This window comes from Homo sapiens, chromosome 14 (assembly GCF_000001405.40).
Source record: "Homo sapiens chromosome 14, GRCh38.p14 Primary Assembly".
Taxonomy (NCBI): domain Eukaryota; kingdom Metazoa; phylum Chordata; class Mammalia; order Primates; family Hominidae; genus Homo; species Homo sapiens.
The window spans coordinates 77,094,225-77,117,988 of NC_000014.9; the positions used below are offsets into that span (position 1 = coordinate 77,094,225).

Genomic DNA, 23,764 nt, shown 5'->3' on the forward strand with positions numbered 1-23,764 from the left:
TAGGAGCTGGAATTTGAAACTAGATCACTGACTTTCACCGTCTCCTATTACACTATTTTAATTACTTCTAAATTTTTTTTTTTTTTTTTTTTGAGACGGAGTCTCGCTCTGTCACCCAGGCTGGAGTGCAGTGGCACAATTTCAGCTCACTGCAGCCTCCGCCTCCTGGATTCAAGCAATTCTCCTGCCTCAGCCCCCTGAGTGGCTGGGATTAAAGGCGCATGCCACCATGCCCAGCTAATTTTTGTATTTTCAGTAGAGACGGGGTTTCACCACGTTGGCCAGGCTGGTCTTGAACTCCTGACCTAGTGATCTGCCCGCCTTGGCCTCCCAAAGTGCTGGGATTACAGGTGTGAGCCACTGCGCCTGGCCCACTTTTAAATATTTTTAAATGACTTTAATTTTAAATTCAACAATTATTAAACAATCGTTTATAAATATTTTAAATTGTATAACATAATACACTTAAAATATCTTCAAATAAAACTCGGCCCATGGCTGACTCTTCATGGTATCCTAGGCAGGGTTAAAAACTCAAATCCTCACACGGATAGGCAGGTTACAATTTCAAGAAGTAGATGGGAAAAAAAAAGAAACATTCGCAAGTCCCTAAATGTAGGATTTAAGGGCGCATGTCTCCCCCTGCTGGTTGTGGTGGTAGGAAACCGAACCTAGACCACAATGGTACTGGGGAGAACTTGAATTGGAAAGGACCCTACAGCAAGAAGAATAGGTGCTTCAGAACCCACTATCCATCACAGGGTCCTTACCCCATCCATCATAGGGTCCTTACTCCAACCAAGAGTAAAGAGAGTAAAGTGAGTGAAGGTTAAAGAATTCGTGGCACCAGTAAACTATCAATAGATGCTGATTTACAAATCTTGGTAAATTAATAGGAAAGGAAGAAAAACGTTTACGGTGGTTTAGCTACATAAAAATATTCACTATCAATCTTCATGAATTGCTTATTCTGTATATCTAATTATATAGAATCATAGCATAAAATAATCATAAAAATTATGCCTATCATTAGTCTTGATTCATTTGGTTCCATTACAATACTTGTCTGAAGCTTAAGTTATTGGTACAGCATGGCTGTCTGCTCAAGATGTAGGTAAAGTCAAGGAAGTTTGGTTTATTTGCCCCTTCGGAGGACTAAGAGGGCCTCATGCTTTCGCATATTTCACTGATTCTTTTTTGCTTGGTATGCATTATCCCCTCACCTGCTTCCATTATTGCAAACCCAACTTTCAAGCTGTCTTTAAAGCTTTACCTGCTGGTCTCTTTCTACTCCAACAACCGAAAAAGAAAGTTTTTTTTTTCTCCCTTAATGTTATTGTTTTGTTCAGAATCTTTTGGTAGTTATCCCATTCTCTTTCATATTGCTTATTACATCATGTCTTATTTCCCATATCAGATTGTAAGTTATTTGAAGGCAGACTTTTATTCTTTTTTTTTTTGAATTTTATTTTTGTTTTGTTTTTTATTTAAGTTCAGGGATACGTGTGCAGATTCGTTACATAGGTAAACTTGTGTCATGGCGGTTTGTTGTACAGATGATTTCGTTACCCAGGTATTAAGCCTAGTATCCATGCTGCTGTTTTTTAAATTTTTTATTTCCATAGGTTTTTGGGGAACAGGTGGCATTTTGGTTATATGAGTAAGTTCTTAAGCGGTGATTTGTGAGATTTTGGTGAACCCATCACCTGAGCAGTATACACTGCACCCAATTTGTAGTCTTTTATCCCTCACCCCCTTCCCACCCTTTCCCCTTGAGTCCCCAAAGTCCACTGTATCATCCTTATGCCTTTACATCCTCATAGCTTAACTCCCACTTATGAGTGAGAACATACGATGTTTGGGTTTCTATTCCTTAGTTACTTCACTTAGAATATAAGTCTCCAATCTCATCCAGGTTGCTGCAAATGCCATTAATTCATTCCTCTCATAGTTTATTTATTTGCCCCTTCGGAAAACTAAGATAGGACCACACCTCATGCTTTTGCTTATTTCATTGATTCTTTTTTTGCTTTGTGTGCGTCGTACTCTCACCCACTTCCATTACTGCAAATCCAACTTTTAGCTATCCTTAAAGATTTACCTACTGATCTCTTCCTACTCCAACAACCAAAAAAAAACAAAGTTTTTTTTTCTCCCTTTATTTTATTAATTAGGTTTTGTTCACAATCTTCTGGTACTTATCCCATTCTCTTTCATATTATTTATTACAGCGCGTCTTATTTCCCATATCAGATTTTAAGTTATCTGAAGGCAGATTGTTTTATTCCACTTCAAAAGAAGGCAATATATTAATAGCTTCATGGATAAAAGCCACGGTTTTCGTTTGTTTGTTTTGGTGAGACGGAGATTTGTTGCCCAGGCTGGAGTGCAATGGCACGATCTCGGCTCACCGCATCCTCCGCCTCCCAGGTTCAAGCGATTATCCTGCCTCAGCCTCCCGAGGATTACAGGCATGTGCCACCACGCCCAGCTAATTTTGTATTTTTAGTAGAGACGGGGTTTCACCGTGTTGCCCAGGCTGATCTTGAACTCCTGACCTCAGGTGATCCGCCCGCCTCGGCCTCCCAAAGTGCTGGGATTACAGGCGTCAGCCACTGTGCCTGGCCAAAGCCATGGGTTTTTAGTTGAGTCCTAATGGGCAAAAACGCCACACAACTGGAAAAAAATACCACCTGCGTCATAAACTTGTAAGGAATCATAAAAGGATGCATATAAAGCGGCCCGGCTCCTAATTACTTGGTAATTGTTAACTATTGCTTTCACTCTGTCCCCAAAACAAAAGCCTTACATGGTGTAGGCATATTACTTGTTGGTAAAGCTGACTACTAACAAGTACACCCATACCCAGTAATACATTAGAATTACCTGTGTCTAGAGGACTAACGTGATTAACCACGACCTAGCAGCACTTACAAAGGCCTGGATGACCAGTATAAAACAATTCCCCACTATCTAAATCAGCACTGTCCAATATAACTTTCTGCGATGCTGGGAATGGGCTATATATAATCTGCACTGTCCAATAAAGAGGTCACTGAGCTCCTGAAATGTGGCTAGTACAACTGAGAAACTTATCCAGTCGTTAGTGACCATCTTACTGGACAGCTCAGCTCTTGAATCTGCCTCGACCCGTCAACTCTTTAAACTCGCCCATGTCCTCTTTTTCACTAGCGAAATAATTCTTTTTCTAAGTAACCTTCACTGATTCAAGGCATCAGAACGTCAACTGATCCCAAGCCCTTTTTTTCTTTAGCTGTTACACACGTGTGTTCACCGTGAACCTTCACCAAGAAACAGCATCCATATAAAACCCATAGCACATGACAAAGTCAGTCAAACATCAAAGGTCATGAAATCATCTACTTAAAATAACTCATCGCGCCTCGACCTCGTGAAGCACGGTCTCGAGGGTGGACGGGAACAAAAAACAAACAGGGCGACAGGCGTAGAGAAAATGCGAGGAGCACGCGGGGAGGTCTGGCACCCCTGTCACGGCGACTCCAGGCTGAGGCCGCCCGCACGCCCGCTCTCCCACGCCGGGCACTGTCGCTCCCGGCACGCGCACAGGCCGGACACGACTCGCCCCGGCCCCCACCCCCAACGGCGGCACGGCGGCACGGCGGCACGCACCAAGACAGTGCGAGAGTCGCTCCTCTCTCTGTATCGACTCCAAGCCGGCCCCACCCCCGGCTCCTCTGAACCCCGCCTGGAAACCTTGCCCAAGCCGCTCATTGCTCAAGGCCCCCGTACAAAATGGCGGCGAGGCCTGAGGAACCAACCATAGAGACGCCCGCCGGCCGCGGACAGAGCGTAGGCCTCTGAGCGCTGGCCCCGCCCCGCGCCGGCCTGGTCTTCCGGCGGGGGCGGGGAAAGGGCGCATTTCCAAGGGCCCTTCTAGGAGAACAGCGTGCGGTCTCCATGGTGCCGGGTCATCCGAGTCGGGTCACGTGGCTGGCGAAAGCCGTCGCGGAGGCGTGGGGAGGAGAAATGGGCGGGAGGCTGTGGGGATAGCGAGACACCCAGCGACGACGAGGTTGTCATGGTGCCGCGGGGCCGTGCTCGCGCATGCGCCACCTGACCCACAGGCCGGTCGTGGAGCTGCGACCCCGGCCCTAGGTGAGAAAGGGAGGGCTCGGTCCGGGAGGAGGGGAGCAGGGATGACGGCGGGAGAGGGATTGGGCGAGGAGCGTGGGGAAAGGAGGTGGAAGTAGGGGAGAGAGGAAGAGGAGCGAGTAGGCAAGAGGGGCAAACCGGGACTTTCGGAGGACGGAGAGCCAAATGGTGGGAGCAGGGCTTTGGTTTGCTGTGAGGGGCGTGGGAGAGGGAATCGCGGGTGAGGAGGGGGCTGCGTGTGGGGAGGAGGCTTGTGTGAGGGGCAGGTGGGCCCTGGTCTAGCCCTGGGCGCAACCGCCAGCCGGCTGGGCGGGGAGAGAGCTTGGAGTCCAGCCCGGCTGGGAGCTGAGGGCCAAGCAATGGGCAGGTGAGTGGGCGCCAGAACTAGTAACTGGGCGAGGGTCCTGGGCTTCCGGTTTGAGGTCGGGGGTGGTACCCTGTTCTGGCTCCAGGGCACAGGTGTGCTGCCTTTTCCAGAGACCTGCCGTCACCCTCGTTGCTGGTTGTTTCCCCTGAGTGGCCAGCTTGCCAGGCTTGGTGTCGGGGGTAGTGTTTCTGGGGAGAAGGTGGGCAGTGCCAAGTAAGGAGTTAAGTGGTTAGTGGGTGGGTTCGGGGGAGCTCTGATCCCGGCCCAGGTCACAGGCTGGAGCTAGGCTCCCTGTTATTGCTCAAGTCCTGGCAGTATGCATTGCCTGGGCGTTTGCCCTGGAAGGCTGGTGGTATGCCAGTCACAGCACAGTACTAGGGTCTGCCCAGTTTTGCCCTGCTGAGCTGGCAGGCTGGTGGATGCCTGGAGGGTGCACATGCTGCCTGGCACAGATGCAACGTGGGCTGGTGCGAATGGGTAGGTGGGCACTGTTACTGTGAACTAATTGCAGCAGGGGATCGGAGAAAGTTCTCTAAGCTCATCTCCCCTTTGAAAGGTGAAAATAGAGCCAAACTGGTCTAAAACATAGGAAATTGTATGGAATTGGGGTTCAGGATCTTTGACACGAATTTTCAGCCAAGTTGGAGAAATGGAATGAATGTGGAAGGGAAGATGAATATTAGACATTTAGGTAGACAGGGTTTTTCCACTGTTAAGATACCCAGACATTCTCCCAGAATGGTATCCCTGAATATGCAGGCCAAAAGAAAATGACTTCGGAGAAAAGCTAGTAATGTATTTATAATTCTAACGGGGATTACTCAAGGTTTTCTTTCTGTGACCTTATCACTTTATTGTATTTAAGCCTCTGGTTGGGCTTTTACCTCACACTTCTGTCCAGGCACACATGTTATACACGTGACACATTTTAAAGGGAACTTGAGCTTCCAGGAATGTTGCCAAGTGTCTATAAAAGGAGAGATCTGAAAGCAGCATTTCAGATCCTTTTCTTGTAACCCTGGATCTCCTTTTTAATCATAAGGACAAATCTTCACAAAGATTGTTTGTGGATTAGATCAACCCTTAATTTGGATGGTGGATTTGTCCCTGACGTTTCAACTTAGAATAAGGGGTAGATCAAATATCTGTTTCCTGCAGGGGACCAGACGTGGAGGTTAGATCTTAAGGTGACCGTGGTGTTTGGAAATGCAGAATCTTGACCTTCAAGCTGTTCAGGTATTTCTGTGACTGCTAAGCTACTAGAGCTGTCAGAGACTCAGCAGGTCAGAGATTTGTTGGAATTTATTACTCTATTGAATGCCTCATGTTAATTGTTGGGGGCTGAGGTTGCAAAGATGAAAAAAACAACTCGAGGTTGAGGAGACAAATAATTAGACTAATGTCAGAAGTGCAAAAAGAGTAGTAAGAGCTAAATGCTTTGGAGCACTTGCTAGGATTTTGAATTTTGTCCCCTTATATAAACTTATATATTTATTGATTCACTTTCTTTCTTTCTTTTTTTTTTTTTTTTTTTGAGACGGAGTCTCACTCTGTCACCCAGGCTGGAGTGCAGAGGCACAATTTCGGCTTACTACAATCTCTGCCTCCCAGGTTCAAGCTATTCTCGTGCCTCAGCCTCTTGAGAAGCTGGGATTACAGGCACACATCCCCAAGCCCAGCTAATTTTTGTGTTTTTAGTAGAGACAGGGTTTCACCATATTGGCCAGGCTGGTCTCCAACTCCTGACCTCAGGTGATCTGCCCGCCTGTGCCTCAAAGTGCTGCTGGGATTATAGACGTGAGCCACCTTGCCTGGCTCTGATTCTCTCTTTTCTTTTCTTTTCTCTTCTTTTTTTTTTTTCTTTTGACGGAGTCTCACTCTTCACCCAGGCTGGAGGGCAGTGGCAACATCTCGGCTCACTGCAACTCCACATCCCAGGTTCAAGGGATTCTCCTGCCTCACCCTCCCAAGTAGCTAGGATTACAGATGTGTGCCACCACACCCAGCTAATTTTTGTATTTTTAGTAGAGACAGGGTTTCACCATGTTGGCCAGGCTGGTCTCGAACTCCTGACCTCAGGTGATCCATCCACCTCTGCCTCCCAAAGTGCTGGGATTATAGGTGTGAGCCACCACACCCGGCCTGATTCACTTTCCATTATGAGTTTTAGTGTGTACTATCCTCTCTGGGAAACTTTTGGACAATGTGTTACATATACATGCATAAGAGGCCCAATTAGGGTAAATTCTGACAGTTTTGGAGCCTAAATTAGCCCTTTTAATGCAGAATAAGGTACATGTGTTTGTAAAGCAGCGTGAGTGATTTCCAGTCTATGCCAGGAAGCAGGAAGCAGAAAGAACACAGTGGGTAAGAGCTTAGTAATCCATTTTCAACTCCTAGTCAGTGTGAGCATGTAACTTTATTGTAAACTAATATCTAAGAGGAAAAAAATCAAGCAACTTCCCGAGGTTTTCAGACTTTGCCTTGCAAATTTTGGGGTTGAGAGCACCAGTAGTAAGTGAGGCTTTATGTGGTGCTATGTGTGAGTGGGTCCCTCAGCCACTCCCAGGAGGGCAGTGCTGCTACTCCTCCGAAAGAGTAAAGTTTGGGGAGGGATGTAGCCCTTTGTTCTACATCCCATGTGAGCCTCCCTGGCTGCAATGCTAAGGCTTTTTGCTGCTTAAGAGAACTTTACTGAAGATAGAGGCTTTCATATTTTTAATCATTTTCATATGAAAAATAGTCAATTTGCCATCCTAAAGTCGATTTTACATTCTTTATTTCCAACTGCCACCAACTCCCCAGGATCTAAATTTAGCATCTGTTCTCTTTTTAACTTACCTCTGTGATACCTTTCCTCACCTACCATAAGGGTCATAGTTGACCCTCCCATAACAAAAGACAGGTTAACAAGAGAAAAACATAACAGTTTTATTTAATCAAAGTTTTTTTTATGACACAGGAGTCTTCAGAAGTGAAGCCTCCCAAACTCAGGGAAAACTGTCTATTTTTATGGTTAGGTTTGATGAAGAATGGACGGCTGTGTAGAAATATGATTGGACAAAAAGGGTATGATCTGGCTGGGCATGGTGGCTTATGCCTGTAATCCCAGCACTTTGGGAGGCTGAGGTGGGAGGATTGCTTGAGTCCAGGAGGTTGAGACCAGCTTGGGCAACATAGCAAGACCCAGTCTCTACAAAAAATTTAAAAATTAGCTGGGTGTGGTGGTATGCGCCTGGAGTCCCAGCTACTCAGGAGGCTAGGGCAGGAGGATCACTTTAGCCCAGGAGGTCGAGTCTGCAGTTAGCTGTGATCGTGCCACTGCGCTCTAGCCTGAGCAACAGCGTGTGATCCATCTATAAATAAAAAACAAAACAAAAACAAAAAGAGTATGATCTAATAGTAATGGACTGAGGTGGGAAACCCAGCAAGGTCTGTCTGTCCAGAATTATTCTTGACCTCTGTGTAGCATTCCTTCCTCTCTGTTATAGGGCAGGACCCATTCTGGAATGAGGGTTTTATGATCTGCTATCGGACAAGACAGGTCAGATAATTTCTTTATGGCCAGGAAGTCGAGGCTGCAGTGAGCTGTGTTTGTGGCCTTGCACTCCAGCCTGGGCGACAGAGCAAGACACAGTCTCAGAAAAAAACAAAAAGCAACAACAAAGTGCTCATTATGCTAAAGTGCCATACTTGGGAGTATTATTTTCTGAGCCTCAAAAACCGATTGTCAGTGTTTCAGTATTTTGACTCCATGATCAATTATCTCTTATCCTACAAATTCTCAATAAGCCAGAATAAATTCCTGTGTATTTTCTGTAGCTCTATTGACTACACTTTAATAATAATAGCAAGACCTTTTTCATTGTTTTGCCGCAAGGATTGTAGAAGACTAAATTGGGATGCATTATCTAAAGTACCTGTAAAATAATCCATGTTTAGTAAGATAATGTGAAACTTCAAGAACCTAAGAACCTAAGTAAGGTTCTTAATTAGTTGCAACTAACATGAGCTACCCTCCTAATCTAAATCAACAGCCTGGTCCGACATGAATTAGTTTGAATGCCCATCCACAAGCCTCATCTACTTCCATTTTGGAGATGGCTTCTATTCACTTTTGGACAGTATTATTTTAGGAAAATTATACTATGCACATTTGTTGAATTTCATACAAAAGGATCCAATTTAATTAGAGATATAGTTTTACACTTTAGTCTACTTTTTAAGCTGGGCCGTCCATGCTGTCAAATTTCATAGCTGTCAGATAGACATTGCTTTTGCATAGTTCTCTGCAAGTTGTGACAGTGCCACTGTTTATCTTTTATGCACATAGGATTAAACGTGTGACCTGTGGAAGAGTGCTTGATTTGATGTCAGTTGAATGAGGAAGCCAGTCCCCTTAAATGAGTTAGATACGGGGCAAAATGATTTTTACTTGGAATTGTGTTTAAAATTCATTCTCATTCAGTTCAGTTTGTGTTCCCTTTAGTCTGCTCCTACAGTATGCAAAAGTACGAGCAAGAGGGTTGCTTATAAGCATCCTTGTCTTCTATTTAATTTTATTTTGAACTGCTTCTAGGGTAGTTAATGTTCTTCACTAGATCTTATATTAGCAGGAATGTCCAGACTTGGCACTCCAGGGTATTCCAGATACAGTGGTATTTGGCAGGGGGCTTGTGTTTTTCTTCACTCAAAGAACAACAGGATAGAGTCAGGAGTGCATCGTGAATTAAAACATCACAAGGCTTTGCTTGCATCTTCCCAGTTTCATTATTGTCATGTTCCCTGTTGGCCTGTTCTCCTTATGCCAGTGGTATTCCTTGTGTTATTATCATGCTGGCCTTACAGTTGCCATTCCTTGGTGACTCAAATGGCCATGTTAAAATATCTGGAATGTTCTTATTCTCAGCCAGCAATTTGAAGGGCCAATTGGTCTTATTCTTGGCACTGTTGATCTAGGTCTGGATCTGCTGTGGACTAGCTGTTTATCACTGGAGCAAATATAGGCCTCTCTCCTGGGCTTCAGTCTTACATGTGACTGCCTACCCAGGATCTCCACTTAGATGACCCACAGTAACTTCAGTCTCTACATGACCAAATCTACATGACCATGCCACCCTGCCCCACCCACCCAACTCCCTTCTGTGCACTTCTTGGGCTCCCTAGCTGAGAAAGTGGTACCACCATCTTCCCCCTACCCAGTCCCATCAGGTGGGCCTCCATGTTTTTCTTCTTCCCATCTCTACTGCCACCACCTTAATTCACCTGGACTGTCACGGTAGCAACTAAATGATCTCAATGCCACTCTTGCCCTTCTCCACTTTAGCCTCAGTTCAGCATCCAGAATGCTTTTAAAATGCAAAGCTGGTGTACACTTGTAATCCCAGCACTTTGGGATGCCAAGCCAAGCCAAGGCCCAGAGCCAAGCCCGTGGTGGAAGGATTGTTTGAGCCTAAGAGTTCACGACCAGCTGAGGCAACAAAGTGAGATCCTGTCTCTACAAAAAACAAAAAATTAGCCAGGTGTGGTGCTACATGCCTGTTGTCCCAGCTACTCCATAGGCTGAGGGGAGGATCGCTTCCATCTGGGCAGTTGAGGCTGCAGCGAGCCATGATCACGCCACTGCACTGCAGCCTGGGTGACAGAGTGAGACACTGTCTCAAAAAATAAGATAAATAAAATGCACATCTGATCATGTCACACTTCTGGTTAAAATTCTTCCATGGCTTCCCATTGCGTTTAAGTTAATATCTAAAATCCTTCCAACATGGATTCCAAGGTATTGCCTGTCTGTTCCCTGACTACCAGTCTGGCATCAGTGCATGGCATTGTACCCTTCTACACTGTGCTCTGGCCTCCCTGGCCTTTCAGTTCTTTGTTTGTGCCAAGCCCCTTGCTCCCTTAGGGCCTTCACACTGCCTGGAACATGCCTTTCGCCTAACTCCTACTAATTCCCAATCCTCCAGATCCCAGCTATGGTGCACTTCCTCAGTCCCCCAGACTGTTAGCCTCTCCCATTTATAGCTCTTATCAAAATGGTCGCTAGTTGAGTGATTACTTGATTAATGACTGTCTCTCTCTAGATCATAAGCTACAAGAAGGAAGCGACAGATGCCTATTCTGTTCATTCTATATCCCCAGTCCTTGCACAATGCCTGATTTACAATGGCATTTGATAAATATTTTTAAATGATTGAATGTAACTTATCTGAGCCTCAGTTTCCTCCCCTGTAAAGTGAGATAGCAACTGAAGATGACATTGTGAGGCTCAAGTGAGATAACACTAATAGCAACGCATATTATAAGCTCTTTATTATATATGATTTTATTTGCCCATAAAAGTGTTTTTTAAGCCTAAAAGTAGCATGCATGTATAGGGAGTTGTTTTTGCTCTCTGTTCAATACCTCAGCCAAAGGATTTAGAGGTTAATTTGAGAAACACAACACTGTGGGAGGTGGCAATAGGTCATGAGCCTGCAAATGTACACGAGGAAAGCAAGCCTTGCGGTGTCTCTTTTCTCCTCTCCCCTTTCCCCTCTCCCCCTCCTTCTGCCCTCTCTCTTCTCCTGTCTTCCTTTTCCCTTCTCTTCACTCCCCTGTCCCCTCTCCCCTCTGGTGAGTTCATTTCGTTACCCATTGGAAAAAGCCTAATCAAATGTGCCTTTGTTAGCAGTTTACAAAGCGAATGCTGAATGTGGTTTGTGTGCCTTGAATTTGTAATGGAATTAGAGGGCAGCCAGAGGACTGTGAATCTCCTTATGGGTGGAAACCATTCTGTTTAGTAAACTTGAAGCTTTTGTCAGTTGAAACCTCTGAGAAAATAAAGCTGAAGTGGGTGAGGCCAGTGTTCTTTGCCCATACTTTATTCACTGTTTGGATCACCTGTTTCAGCTCTCCAGGCAGTGACTTCTTATATAATTGTTTTTCATAGGGCAGTCCAGATGAAAAGAGTACCAATGAATCTGCCTCCAGCTGAATAAACCATGGAGAGGAAAAACCCATCCAGAGAGAGCCCCAGAAGACTCTCTGCCAAAGTAGGCAAAGGCACAGAGATGAAGAAAGTGGCTCGTCAGCTTGGGATGGCTGCTGCTGAGTCAGACAAGGACTCTGGCTTTTCAGGTTAAAAATATCTTATCCTTCCTCTGTTTTGTGAGTGAATGCTTTGCGTGAAAAATTTCCTCCCCAAAACTCATTTATGTGATAAGGATGGGATGCTTTCACACACAGGATAAATACTTACCTGCTTTAAAATGGTAATTCTGATGCCATATGTCAGGGTACCCATCAAAGTCACCACAGGGTTAGTTCTGAAAGAATTATTTAACATCTTTTTTCAACTTAGACTCTGAATCTTACACTTCCAACTATTGCAATTGGTCACTGGAAAAAATATTTAAATACTCATAATTCTGTTGTTTTACTTCCTTTTTCACAGGAATTATTACATTGTAGGGGAAAAATTGCTACTGCATGTAGTTTCCATGTAACAAATTGGAAGACTGCCAGTTAAATAAAAGTAATACTGTATATAATTTGTAAGGTAACTTTTTCATTGAGAAAGTAGTTTCGCTGTGTTTAGAAATGTACGCCTCCAACAACCCCTCCCCCCAGTCTCTATGCATTTTGTATTTGGACTGTGAGCCACCTGGCCTAGCTCTAAACTTGAGTATCTATTAGAGATAAGAAAATAGAACAGTTTTCCTTACAAGTTTTTCTTAAACCTTACCCAAAAGGGCTAGCTGCATATATATTGAATCATTCAATTTTGTGCTGGGGCTCTTTTTTTATTTCCCGCTCTGAGGGTAGTGGCTTGAATATGGCGCTAGTGTGATTTTTGGCGCGGGGATGCAGAGGGGTGATGCTGAGGGATTCTGGTCAAGTCAACATCCTGAGAGTAGAACCCTCTCAAGGAGAAGATTTATATTATCCAGACTCACAAAGACAAATCAATCAATTTTGATTTATTAACTTATAGTGAGAAATGCAGCTGTTAGGAAAACTAGAACTCTCTTGTCTTTAGATTGGCATATTTTCTCCCTGTAGGCATGCTGCTTGAAAAGGCAAATTATAAATAGACCGTTGCTCAAAGAGGAACAGAGCGCCAACCAAGGGATTAGATTAAAAGGAATTAGTTGCCCTGCCCAGGGCCAGGACAGTCCAGGGAAGGGCGGGCCAACCTTCCCTTTGGATTTTTCTTCTCTCTCTCAGCATTGTTTCCTAAGCCTGCCTCATCATAAGGCTCACCTGAGGCATTTGTTAAAAATATTGATCACCAGATCTCCCTCCTGGAGACTCTTTCAAGGGTCTGGACAGGGCCTGGAATGTGGGTTCTTTTAAAAAACAAGTGTTTCTGTTGTATGATCAGACAGGTTTGGGAAACACTGGAGGCCTAGTGCCTCTTTTTTTCTTTTAATATCACGTTTGCTTTTTGTTTATGTTTCATTTCATGAATACGTGCTCATTGTAAAAGCTTGGACAGGTAGGAAAGCATGAAGAAGAAAAACATTATCCATAATCTTACCATCTATTATTTCCAGTACTGTTGACATTTTGACACTTCTAACAACTTCAACTTTGTCAGGCCAGTTGTTTTAAGAATATTGTACTACTCAGATATAAGGTGGTATTAAAATAATCAAACTCATTATGCCCCAGAAAGTAGCCCCAGTGAATGCCACTGGAATGCTTCGAGCCACTCTTGGGCCAGGTGCCAGTGATTTCCTCACTGCCTGAGTTATTCCAGTTACCTTGGAGTAGGATGAAATTTGCAAAATCAAGACAATTTTTCCCATTTTAATTACCACATTTGTAGTTCAAAAAATTTCAAATCTATACAAAAGCAAATGAATACCCCATATGTCTATCTTTTTGCCATATATGCTTTCTCTCTCTCGCTCTCTTTACACACACACACACACACACACACACACACACTCTCTCTCTGAATTATTTGAAAGTAAATTGCAAACACTTGACATTTTACCCCATGTAGCTTCAGTACAGATTTCCTAAAAACAAGGACATTCTTCTATGTAGTTATAATATCATTATCATACCTAAGAAATTTAACACTGATACTTATCATTAGCTACACTCCATATTCAGATTTTCCCCCATTGTCCCAATAATGTCCTTTATAGCTGTTTGTCTTTTTGTCTGTTTTGGATCCAGAATCCAACTGAAGATTGAGCATTGCATTTAGTTGTCCTGTCCTTTAGTCTGGTTTAGTTTATAACCACTCCCCTATCTTTTCTTTCCTTTTTTTCTTTCTTCTTTCTTTATGACATTGACATCTTTGAATGAGTCAGGCCTGTTGCTTTGTAGAATGTCTCACACTCTGGATTTTCTGGTAGTGTCCCCATTATTAGGGTCAGGATTAGCATCTTGACCAGAATACTATGTTGTTGATGTTGTATCCTTCCCATTGCAACACATTTGGAGACTCATAAGTTAGTCTTACTCTTGGTGATGCTCTGGTTGGTTGATCACTTGGCTAAGATAGTGTGTACAGATTTCTTTACCATTAAAGTACCCTTTTCTCTTTGTAATTAATAAGTAATTTATGGGATAATACTTTATAATTGTGTGACTATCCTATTCCCCAACAAACTGTTTACCAGAGTTAGCATCCATTGATGATCTTTGCCTGAATCATTACATTGGCGGTTTAAAAGTGGTGATCTTGGCCGGGCGCGTTGCCTCACACCTGTAATCTCAGCACTTTGGGAGGCCGAGGCAGGTGGATTACCTGAGGTCAGGAATTCGAGACCAGCCTGACCAACATGGAGAAACCCTGTCTTTAATAAAAATACAAAATCAGCCAGGCGTGATGGTGCATTCCTGTAATCCCAGCTGCTCGGGAGGCTGAGGCAGGAGAACCGCTTGAACCCGGGAGGCAGAGGTTGTGGTGAGCTAAGATCATGCCATTGCACTACAGCCTGGGCAACAAGAGCGAAACTCTGTCTCAAAAAAAAAAAGGGGGTGATCTTCTAATTTTACCATTCTTTGTACGTCATTAGCTGACATTCTTCTGTAAAAAGTGCTTTCCCTCCTCCCTCTTCTTTTGAGTATCACTAATGTAGTCATGGAATTCTTTTGTAATTCAGTTTGTCAACCTGTTAAAATCATCATTTCTGATACTCAAATTGTCTCAAATTTGACCAGCAGGAGTCCCCTCAAGATAGCTCTTGTGTCTCGTTGACATGTCTCTGTTAGTGTTTGAGCACTTCTTTGCTTTCTGGGACAAGCAGCTGTCCAGGCTCATCTCGTATCTTCCCTGTCAAAGTCTTGGAATCAGCTGTTTCTCCAAGGACCCCTCATTTCCTTTATGTGCAGAATGGCATTTAGAAACCAAGATCTGGGCACTCAATATGTACATTGCTTCTGGGCTCATTTGTTTTCAGTCTAATGGTTCTTAACTAGAGGTGTACATTTGGATTACTTGTGTTTTGTGAAATACACCTACCATGGAACCAGGTAAATCACTTCAGTAGATCAAGGGAAGGATCCCAACATTTATGGTTTTTTAAAAGTATCACTGGAGATTCTAAATCATATTTCCATTGATGTATATCCTTCCAGTCATACAGTCTTCCTTAAGCTGGAGAAAATGCAATTGTTTTGAGGTTTACAGATTGGTTTTGTTTTTTTAATTGTAATTACATCTTGTGGTACCCAGAGCCTCTGAAGGTCTTAATCCTACCTTGGGCCATACTCGTCTCCTTTCTCAACATAGATTCTCGAAAGTAATAAACTAACTTTGAAACCTTGAACTCATTTCTCCTGTAGACTGATGATGATTACTTTCATGTGAGCCCTAATTGAGGCAGGTTTTTGTCTGTAAGAGAGTTAGAAAGGAAGTCAAACTCGTCCTAGGGCAATAATTCTTAATCTTTGGTGGAGGAGGGATTAATTATAGATCCCATTGAAAAGCCAATGAAAGCTAAAAGCCTCCTTCTCAATAAAATTCACAAAAACACATCACAAGTGTTGCATTCAATTTCAAGAGGTCTGTAGCTCCTTAGGAGCCTGGTTAAGAGCCCCTAGTCTAGAGCCTGAGTGAGTTGACCATTCTTCTGCCCACCAGATGGGAGCTCGGAATGTCTGAGCTCTGCAGAGCAGATGGAGTCCGAGGACATGCTGAGCGCCTTAGGCTGGAGCAGAGAAGACAGGCCGAGGCAGAACTCCAAAACTGCAAAGAATGCCTTCCCTACCCTGTCTCCCATGGTCGTCATGAAGAATGTGCTTGTCAAACAGGTGAGGAGGACTAATATCACCTAAAGTCTTTGCAAATAAAAATCTCTTAGCTTCCGTGTATAAAGGAAGAGATTTATATTCTCTGCCAAGGAGAGATTTTAGAAACAGACCATTAGAACCACACCAATGTGTACTTTCTGTCCTGGGGAGCGGATGTTATCTTTCAAGTGTGACACTGTTTTAAAAAGGAATATAAGAATCATGACATGCGTTCTCATTTTTCAGACAGTTAGGTTGTTTTATTTCTGTATTCATAGTTTGTCCAAAGAGACCCTGAAATGTATATAAAGGAACCAAGCAGAAATGGCATCACTTCAATGGTGCATTCTAACATATGGCAGAGTTTAGGGTAGAAACAAAAGATGCTCTTTTTAATATGGATTGCCCTGGGAATTTAGGAATGTAGAATGCATTTATCTCAGAAGTAGAGGCAATTTCCCTGTTTCTTATGTCATATACTGAGCATTTTCTTAGTAGTCAGCCAGAGCCTGTCATTAGTGACGAAGCTGCTCCTGGTTCAAGTATGGGAATACCAGCAGAATCCACACAGTGTTGTGGAGTGGAAACACATCCTGTTTGGGGCTTTATTACATAACTATGTTTATTATATGATTATTGTTTAGATATGAAAGAAAAGATTTAGATGAAAATCTAAGTTAAGCTCTAGTGTTTGAAACTGAGAACTTGATCATATGAACTTGGTTAAGTTAGAATAGAGAAGTCTGAGAATAGAAAAGATTGATTTCAGCCAAAGAAATTTAATCTTACCGTACTTTCCTCTGAAAATATATCAGTTTTCATATGGGTCCATTGATGAGGCTACTTGAAGATAGTGAAATTTTAAATCTGGCTTGAGTAGTTGACTTTTCCCCCCTTAGGGTAAAAGGTGAGAACATGGCTTTAACTTGACAGGAAATCTTAATGTCTTAGCTATTACCTAGTTGTATATGAGGAACACAAACTGATTTTCAACAAGGCAGACTGGTGAGTTCTGAAAAGGAATTTGAAGATTTTTGCTTGGTAAATCACATCTCAGCTGGAAGCATGGCTCTCCTTATTGAAAGGAAAAGAAAGAATAGAGACAGGAAACGGAGCCCACATGAGATTGCTCCGGCCCCACCAGTGCTGCCAGTGCTTCTCCTGGGCTTCCTTTCTCCCAGTTCTTTTTCTCCCTGCCTTCCTCTCTGGCTTCCTTGTCCCTTTCTTGTGTCTGTGTTTATATCCCTTCTTTGTTGTAGGCTAGGCTGGCAGCTCCAGAAGGCTGAGAACAGCCCACACACACAGTTACGGAGTGAGTAGGCTTTTCCAGCAGAGCCACATTCTTTAAGACAAAGACCCGCCAGAAAAGCTGCTGGGCCTGATCAGGAGCTAAGAGACTTGGGGACAAGCTGACCTAAGGGAGTAGTCTAGGAGTTTTGTTTCGTTTTTTAAAAACATACTAGAATCTAGCGTATTCTAAAATTAAAATAATGATACACATTTAAAACTCTGCATGTTGTGTAATGTCTTGATTATGGCTGCTTGGTTTTAGATATTTTTCTTTTGAGAGTCTGATTCCACCTCTGTCATTAGACAGTGTGATCTTGTACATAATTAACCACAATGGATATCAGTTTCTTCATCTTTAATATGAAGGGTTTATGTGAAATGATTCTGAGATCCTGTCCAAGTCTAAAATTTTGTTCTGTATTCCCTCAGGTGATTTCCACATGAATAATACAATTTGTAAAATCTAATAATTGGAACAAGTCAGCTAAGTATCTGTTAGGAGAGTGGGCATAACAGTAGCATTAGGAAGTACAGTCCAGTAAAATCATGGGAAAACAATGCATTAGATATTTTCCAGATCCATTTGCCTTGTAGGTCATCCCTAGAGAGGGCATGAAGTTTTGCTTCTGACTGAGCTGGAACAGGCTGATTTCTACTTCAAAAGACCTCTTGATTTTGGATCTCCTATGACAAGGAAATATGGTTTCTGGCCCTAGCATTGCTTGCCTTAGTATATTCCGGAGTATATTTGAACATCAAGAGGACTCTAGATCGTTCCAGCCTTTGCATGGGAAATGAACTGGCCTAAAGTTCCTAACCTTGCATCCAAGAAACTGAAATGTGTGCAAAATGGTGCGCGCATGTACATGTATGGGAAGACAGTTCGTAATGTTCTTCAGATAAATCAAATGACCCCACCTGACCCCACTGATGATGTGAAACTCTGTCAGGCTTGCCCTCTGCCTGGCTTTATCTATACTCAGATTTTGGGGACCAGGTTGGAACTGGATTGGCTTTCAAACATTGGAGACAAGTAGCCATGTCCTTCTTTATTAGATTTCGTCTGAATCAATACTTTAATTAAAAAATAATGTATAATTGAGGAGTAATAAACAAAGGCAGTATAGCAGAATGGCTCAGATGGGTTTTAGAGTCAGACAGAGGATGGAATCCTAACTGCATCACTTAGTAACTTGATGACTTAAAACAAGTTTTTTCGACTTTCTAAGCCTCAGTTCCCTGTTTATGAAGGGAAATGGTAACTGCCTCATGGGGTTTTAAATAGATTAAGTAACTCATGTAAAACATTACACATAGTGGTAACCTATAATCAGCACCAATACATGGTAGCTGTTATTATTTTGAATGGTTTTATGATTGTTGGATGTCACTGCCTTAAAAACAGGAACCCATAGACTCCTGACAATATGGGTTTTTTTCTTTTCTTTCTGTTTTTTTTTGTTGTTGTTGTTGTTTTTGAAACCAAGTCTTGCTCTGTCACTCAGGCTGGAGTGCAGTGGCGCAATCTCAGCTTACTGCAACCTCCACCTCCCAGGTTCAAGCGATTCTCCTGCCTCAGCCTCCCAAGTAGCTGGGACTACAGGCGCACACCACCAAGCCCAGCTAATTTTTTGTATTTTTTAGTAGAGACGGGGTTTCACACGTTGGCCAGGCTGGTCTCGAACTCCTGACCTCAGGTGATCCACCTCCCTCAGCCTCCCAAAATACTGGGATTACAGGCATGAGCCATCACACCTGGCCCAATATGTTACTTTTTAATCAAAAGTTATTTTCAGGTAAAAGAGGTTCCAGGTGTGACTAAATGAAGATACACTTTGGTGTAAAGTCACATTTTAACTTACACCAGGAAATCCATATTTTTGTTGTTTCAGTTGTGACCTTAGCTATGTCATTACTTTACCTACCCATTTATTTTTCTGAGTGATAGCACTTGAATAAAAATAGGTATTTCCTCCAGTTTTCCCTTAGAAAAAGTTTAAAAAGTATTTGTGATATCAGACACAAATAGATGTTCAAACCACTATGTGAGAGAAGCACTGTCCTTGAAATTGTTCTAAGCATTTGAGTATCCACTTGCCCCTTTGACAGAAGCTTCACTCCTCTATCCTTTCAGCAGTAATGAGTAGTGTGCTGCTCTCCTCCTTTGTCTTCAGGGCAGCAGCTCATCCCAGCTCCAGTCGTGGACTGTCCAGCCCTCCTTTGAAGTGATCTCAGCACAGCCACAGCTCTTATTCCTTCATCCACCTGTACCATCTCCTGTCAGTCCATGTCACACTGGTGAGAAAAAGTCCGACTCCAGGAACTACTTGCCCATTCTGAATTCTTACACCAAAATAGCCCCACATCCAGGCAAAAGGGGCCTTTCCCTTGGCCCAGAAGAAAAAGGAACAAGTGGAGTGCAGAAGAAAATCTGTACTGAGAGACTTGGGCCTAGCTTGTCTTCCAGTGAGCCAACCAAGGCTGGTGCTGTCCCATCCAGTCCCTCGACGCCAGCACCACCCAGCGCCAAACTTGCCGAGGACTCAGCTCTGCAGGGTGTGCCCTCTCTGGTGGCAGGTGGAAGTCCACAGACTCTTCAGCCGGTATCCAGCAGTCACGTGGCTAAAGCTCCCAGTCTGACCTTCGCTTCCCCCGCCAGTCCTGTCTGCGCATCAGACAGCACTCTCCATGGGTTAGAGAGCAACTCTCCCCTTTCACCACTGTCCGCTAATTATAGCTCACCTTTATGGGCTGCAGAGCACCTCTGCCGCAGCCCAGATATCTTTTCAGAGCAGCGGCAGAGCAAACATAGGCGCTTTCAGAATACCCTAGTAGTCCTACATAAATCTGGTTTGCTGGAGATCACTTTGAAAACCAAGGAGTTGATTCGTCAGAATCAGGCAACTCAGGTAGAACTAGACCAGCTAAAGGAGCAAACCCAGCTGTTTATAGAAGCCACCAAGAGCAGGGCCCCTCAGGCTTGGGCCAAGCTGCAGGCATCTTTAACACCTGGGTCCAGTAATACAGGCAGTGACCTAGAAGCATTCTCTGATCACCCAGCCATATAGCACAGAGGCATATTTTCCTGTTACTTGAGTGGTTCTTTTAGCTCATTTGCTGTTACCTACTCCTGTTTCCCAAAGCTTATGTAAGAGCTTTTCCTTCTAAACTTAAACTGTGTTGTGGTTCACTTAGGAAGCCACGTGCCAATACCTGGCTGCTGTCTTAACTCGTAGTCTGGGCACAGGATACATATGTCCCCGTCCCACTGAGGACCTCAGTTTGGGAGTGCCCTTGAGCCCCTTTTCCTTAGCCTGCAGGTGCTTCAATGGATCATGGGGCAAAGCAGGAGATGATTGTGTGGGGCTCTTCCTGCTGTCACCTCCCATCATCCCACTCTCTCACCAGGATCAAGGGTACAGTAACACGAATGAGCATACAGAGCAACACCTGTTGAGCCAGGGAGTAGGTGACACAAGGAAACCTTCATGGATCTTCCCTTGCCTGTCTTAGTCACAGAGAGAAATAAGAGGAGGTTGTTTGCATCCCACAAGGCATCGTACTAGTTGGGCGAGACCTAAAATTCCCTGGGCACAGGTTGCACCTGGGTGTGAGCACTTAATCACTCAACGCTTTGTTTTCTTACACTTGAAAATCAAGGGAAAGAGTAGTACCATCTGACTCCTACACTTTCATTACAAGTCAGATTTTTCTTAAACTAGCAGGCAAAAACAGTACTTCCAAATTTTAAGGTATGGAATGAATGCAGTACATCTGGAATTGTAGTCGATGAATTGCTTTTTTGACTTAGAAGCTGAAGAAAATAGACATAGCCGGCATATCTCATGGTCAGGAGCTGGACGATTCTGGTAACTTAGGCTTTTTTTCTCTCTTCTTTTGAAACAGTGTAACCTGTTTTATGTCTAAAAATCTTAAGGATAGTTTCAGTGGTTCCTGGGATGTAGTATAAGTTAACTCTGCTGCCATCTTGTTTTTTTTTTTTTTCCTTTATTTTGATAAGTGATTATTATGCTTGATAAACTTTGAATTAAATACAGTTGTCTTGAGGGTATGATAAGTCCACAAAAAATTGGAAAGCATCTTACCCATTTTCTTCACATCCCAAATTTTTATTTGTTCCATGTCATAGTGATGGGAAGCAGTTACAGAGCAGCGTCTTCTGTGTTTCCTTCATGTGTTAGATATTGGCAACAAAGCCAGAGGTGTAATGTTGGTTATATGAAGTTCATCTCAAAATGGAGACCATGACCAGAGTTTCCAGATGATACACGTTCTTTTCAGCTTCATTAAATAGGCAACTATGTTTCTAAATAGTAAAGTTTCAAAATATTCTCTCAATTTAAAATTTCATCCTCTTGAAAATCTTTGTTCTTTACAAAATTATCTTAATAAGTTCTATATGGTCAGCTTCATCTTCCTTTTTTTTTTTTTTGAGATGGAGTTTCGCTCTTGTTGCCCAGGCGGAGTACAATGGTGGGATCTCGGCTCACTGCAACCTCCGCCTCCTGGGTTCAAGTGATTCTCCTGCCACAGCCTCCCAAGTAGCTGGGATTACAGGTGCCTGCCACCATGCCCAGCTAATTTTTGTATTTTTAGTAGAAATGGGGTTTTACCGTGTTGGCCAGGCTGGTCTCGAACTCCTGACCTCAGTTGATCCGCCTGCCTCAGCCTCCCAAAGTGCTGGGCTTACAGGCCTGAGCCACCACGCTCAGCTCAGCTTCACCCTGTCTGCAAAGAAAAGTTTTACCAAGACCAGAAGTTAAATATGACATTTCCTAGGTAGTTGTAACTCTAACATAGTTTAAAAAGTATGTGGCTTCAGATTGCCTATACTTTGTTCACAAACGTGTGATTTAGATATGACTGATGTAGAAGTGAACAACTTGGTAACATCCCTAGACTCCACTCATGAACGCAGAATTATTACCTGCTGTTTGCTTTCTGAAAGAATTTCAGAAATCAGAGCAAATGTGTCTTTAGGCAGATTCAGCTCCTTTTAATATTTTTCTCTTGGCCCACTCTCTTTGCTTCCCCTGAATCTGTGTGGTACTATAGCAGCTCTACTCTGTGCACCATGCTAGGAAGCTTCCTTTTTGGCAGAATATGTTTGGCAGCAAAGCTATAGAGACAGGTGCATTCAGAACATCCTGGGCACCAGTCATGAGTCTTACTGTGTCAAAAATCTGAAAACACTTGCTGAGAACCAAATTTATTCCATTGGAAAAACCCTCTGTGGAGCTATAAGCCTCTTGGACTCTTCTTCCTAGATTAAGGCTTGCATTTCCCTCCCTGTTTCAGTAAAAGATGATGAAAGCCACTATCAATCCTCACTGCTGAGTGGCAGGGAGAAGCAGCACCACTCTCAGCTCTTTTCTAATCTTGTAACTTAGTGCTAGAAGTCTCTCCAGGCTATTACCATGGGCATTTGTTCTCTGTTGGAGCTGTAAGCAGATGAACCCAAGTAGAGAAGATAGATCTTGGAAGGAGAGATCCATTGAGTCCAGAAGCCAGATCAGCAAATGGAGGAACCTCGGAGGTGACCAGAAAGATCTCCATCGGTTGCCCAAGGCTGTAAGTAGTGATGGTTTTAGCGATGAATAACGTAATTGGCTATGAAGTACTGTGGCAGAGCTGCTGTTTTCTGAAGGTGAGAAGCCATTTTTAGCTCAGAGCAACCCTTAAGAGAACTTTTGGCAGATTTTGTTGGCATTATTGAAATATATATAGAAAAGTTGCTGATTGCAATGGTTATGGGAATGGAATTTAATGACATTTGTAATTTATTACACTCATTGGTTTTTATTGATTATAGTATTGTCTGACTTTTTATTTTCTACTATGGTTCCTTTAGCAGAAAAGTAACTTTTGTGCATATATTGAAGTGGTTTTTCAGCTATGAATTCTTTAGGGTAGAAATTTATTTAGCAAATGTGAATTCTTTTGAGAAAGTATGAAGTTTTGCAGAAATTGACTGTGAAATGTCAGAGAAAAATAAAAGTCACTTACTTGAAACCTATTTGGCCTTTTTGCTTTATAACTGCTTAAAAATACTGAGTGAACCTGGAGTAAATATTTGAACTGATTTAAATGTTAAACATAGGTACTCATGTTATTTGGGAATATTGGGATTAGACACTGAACATGTGGAAATTCATTGCTCAGATTTTCACTGGTGTGAACTTGAAATATGAGTAGCCTTATGGCAAATGAGTAGTCCCCTGTTTTCTGGAGCCTTGGAGGCTTATACTGGGCAGGTTGGGAGGAGTGAGAGGTGAAGATAGTCCAGTGATTTCTTCCATCTGATTGACACTTTCACAAATAGAACTTTTAAGTGACAAAGCTACTATAATTGTATACCGGGATAAACTAAAGCCACAGTAAGCGAAGTTTTTTCTACAGCACAGTGGTCCTTAGCAAGCACACCTCCATGCCTTCCCCTTTGCCTCCTCAAGCCTTGCTCCTTGTCAGGGTTCACCTAGAAGATCTCAACAGGGAGACATGTGGAGTCCTCCCTGTTTCCCAGGCCAGTCAGGAGCCCCTTTCTGGGATCTTTAAGACACTGGGGAAATGAAAAGCTGACCTCACTAAAAGCCTGGAGGGTTGTCATAGTCGAATTCTTCTAGTATTATTTCTGTCCTATACAATTGTCTAAGTGGCTTTTTAAAATGTAGCTGTAAGGCCACTAGTAAGAAACAAAAAATAGGTAAATATGGCTAG

The 23,764-nt window shown here is 43.1% G+C and overlaps 1 protein-coding gene and 1 long non-coding RNA gene across 2 annotated transcripts, besides 5 other annotated features; one reads left to right on the forward strand and one right to left on the reverse strand.

The window, feature by feature from the left end:
* Positions 1-2,240: 2,240 nt before the first annotated feature.
* On the reverse strand, positions 2,241-3,794 carry LOC124903350 (uncharacterized). Its single transcript, XR_007064275.1, has 2 exons — positions 3,652-3,794; positions 2,241-2,676 (listed from the first exon to the last, which is right to left on the reverse strand). It is a non-coding gene; the product is annotated as an uncharacterized LOC124903350 (long non-coding RNA).
* Positions 3,265-3,314: an enhancer, noted in NCBI's record as "active region_8789". NCBI's record gives its function as "activates an Ori minimal core promoter by ATAC-STARR-seq in GM12878 lymphoblastoid cells {active_cell/tissue: GM12878}" and the evidence as "EXISTENCE:reporter gene assay evidence [ECO:0000049][PMID:35858748]".
* Positions 3,495-3,644: a silencer, noted in NCBI's record as "silent region_5966". NCBI's record gives its function as "represses an Ori minimal core promoter by ATAC-STARR-seq in GM12878 lymphoblastoid cells {active_cell/tissue: GM12878}" and the evidence as "EXISTENCE:reporter gene assay evidence [ECO:0000049][PMID:35858748]".
* Positions 3,676-4,505: an enhancer, noted in NCBI's record as "H3K27ac-H3K4me1 hESC enhancer chr14:77564243-77565072 (GRCh37/hg19 assembly coordinates)". NCBI's record gives its function as "activates a minimal SCP1, AML or CMV promoter by ChIP-STARR-seq in primed H9 embryonic stem cells {active_cell/tissue: H9 hESC(primed)}" and the evidence as "EXISTENCE:reporter gene assay evidence [ECO:0000049][PMID:30033119]".
* On the forward strand, positions 4,034-23,063 carry CIPC (CLOCK interacting pacemaker). Its single transcript, NM_033426.3, has 4 exons — positions 4,034-4,137; positions 11,433-11,620; positions 15,588-15,757; positions 19,201-23,063. Exons 2-4 carry the CDS (start codon positions 11,485-11,487, stop codon positions 20,092-20,094), a joined length of 1,200 nt encoding a protein of 399 aa, NP_219494.2. The 5' UTR covers positions 4,034-4,137; positions 11,433-11,484; the 3' UTR covers positions 20,095-23,063.
* Positions 4,645-4,804: an enhancer, noted in NCBI's record as "active region_8790". NCBI's record gives its function as "activates an Ori minimal core promoter by ATAC-STARR-seq in GM12878 lymphoblastoid cells {active_cell/tissue: GM12878}" and the evidence as "EXISTENCE:reporter gene assay evidence [ECO:0000049][PMID:35858748]".
* Positions 6,919-6,968: an enhancer, noted in NCBI's record as "active region_8791". NCBI's record gives its function as "activates an Ori minimal core promoter by ATAC-STARR-seq in GM12878 lymphoblastoid cells {active_cell/tissue: GM12878}" and the evidence as "EXISTENCE:reporter gene assay evidence [ECO:0000049][PMID:35858748]".
* Positions 23,064-23,764: the final 701 nt, after the last annotated feature.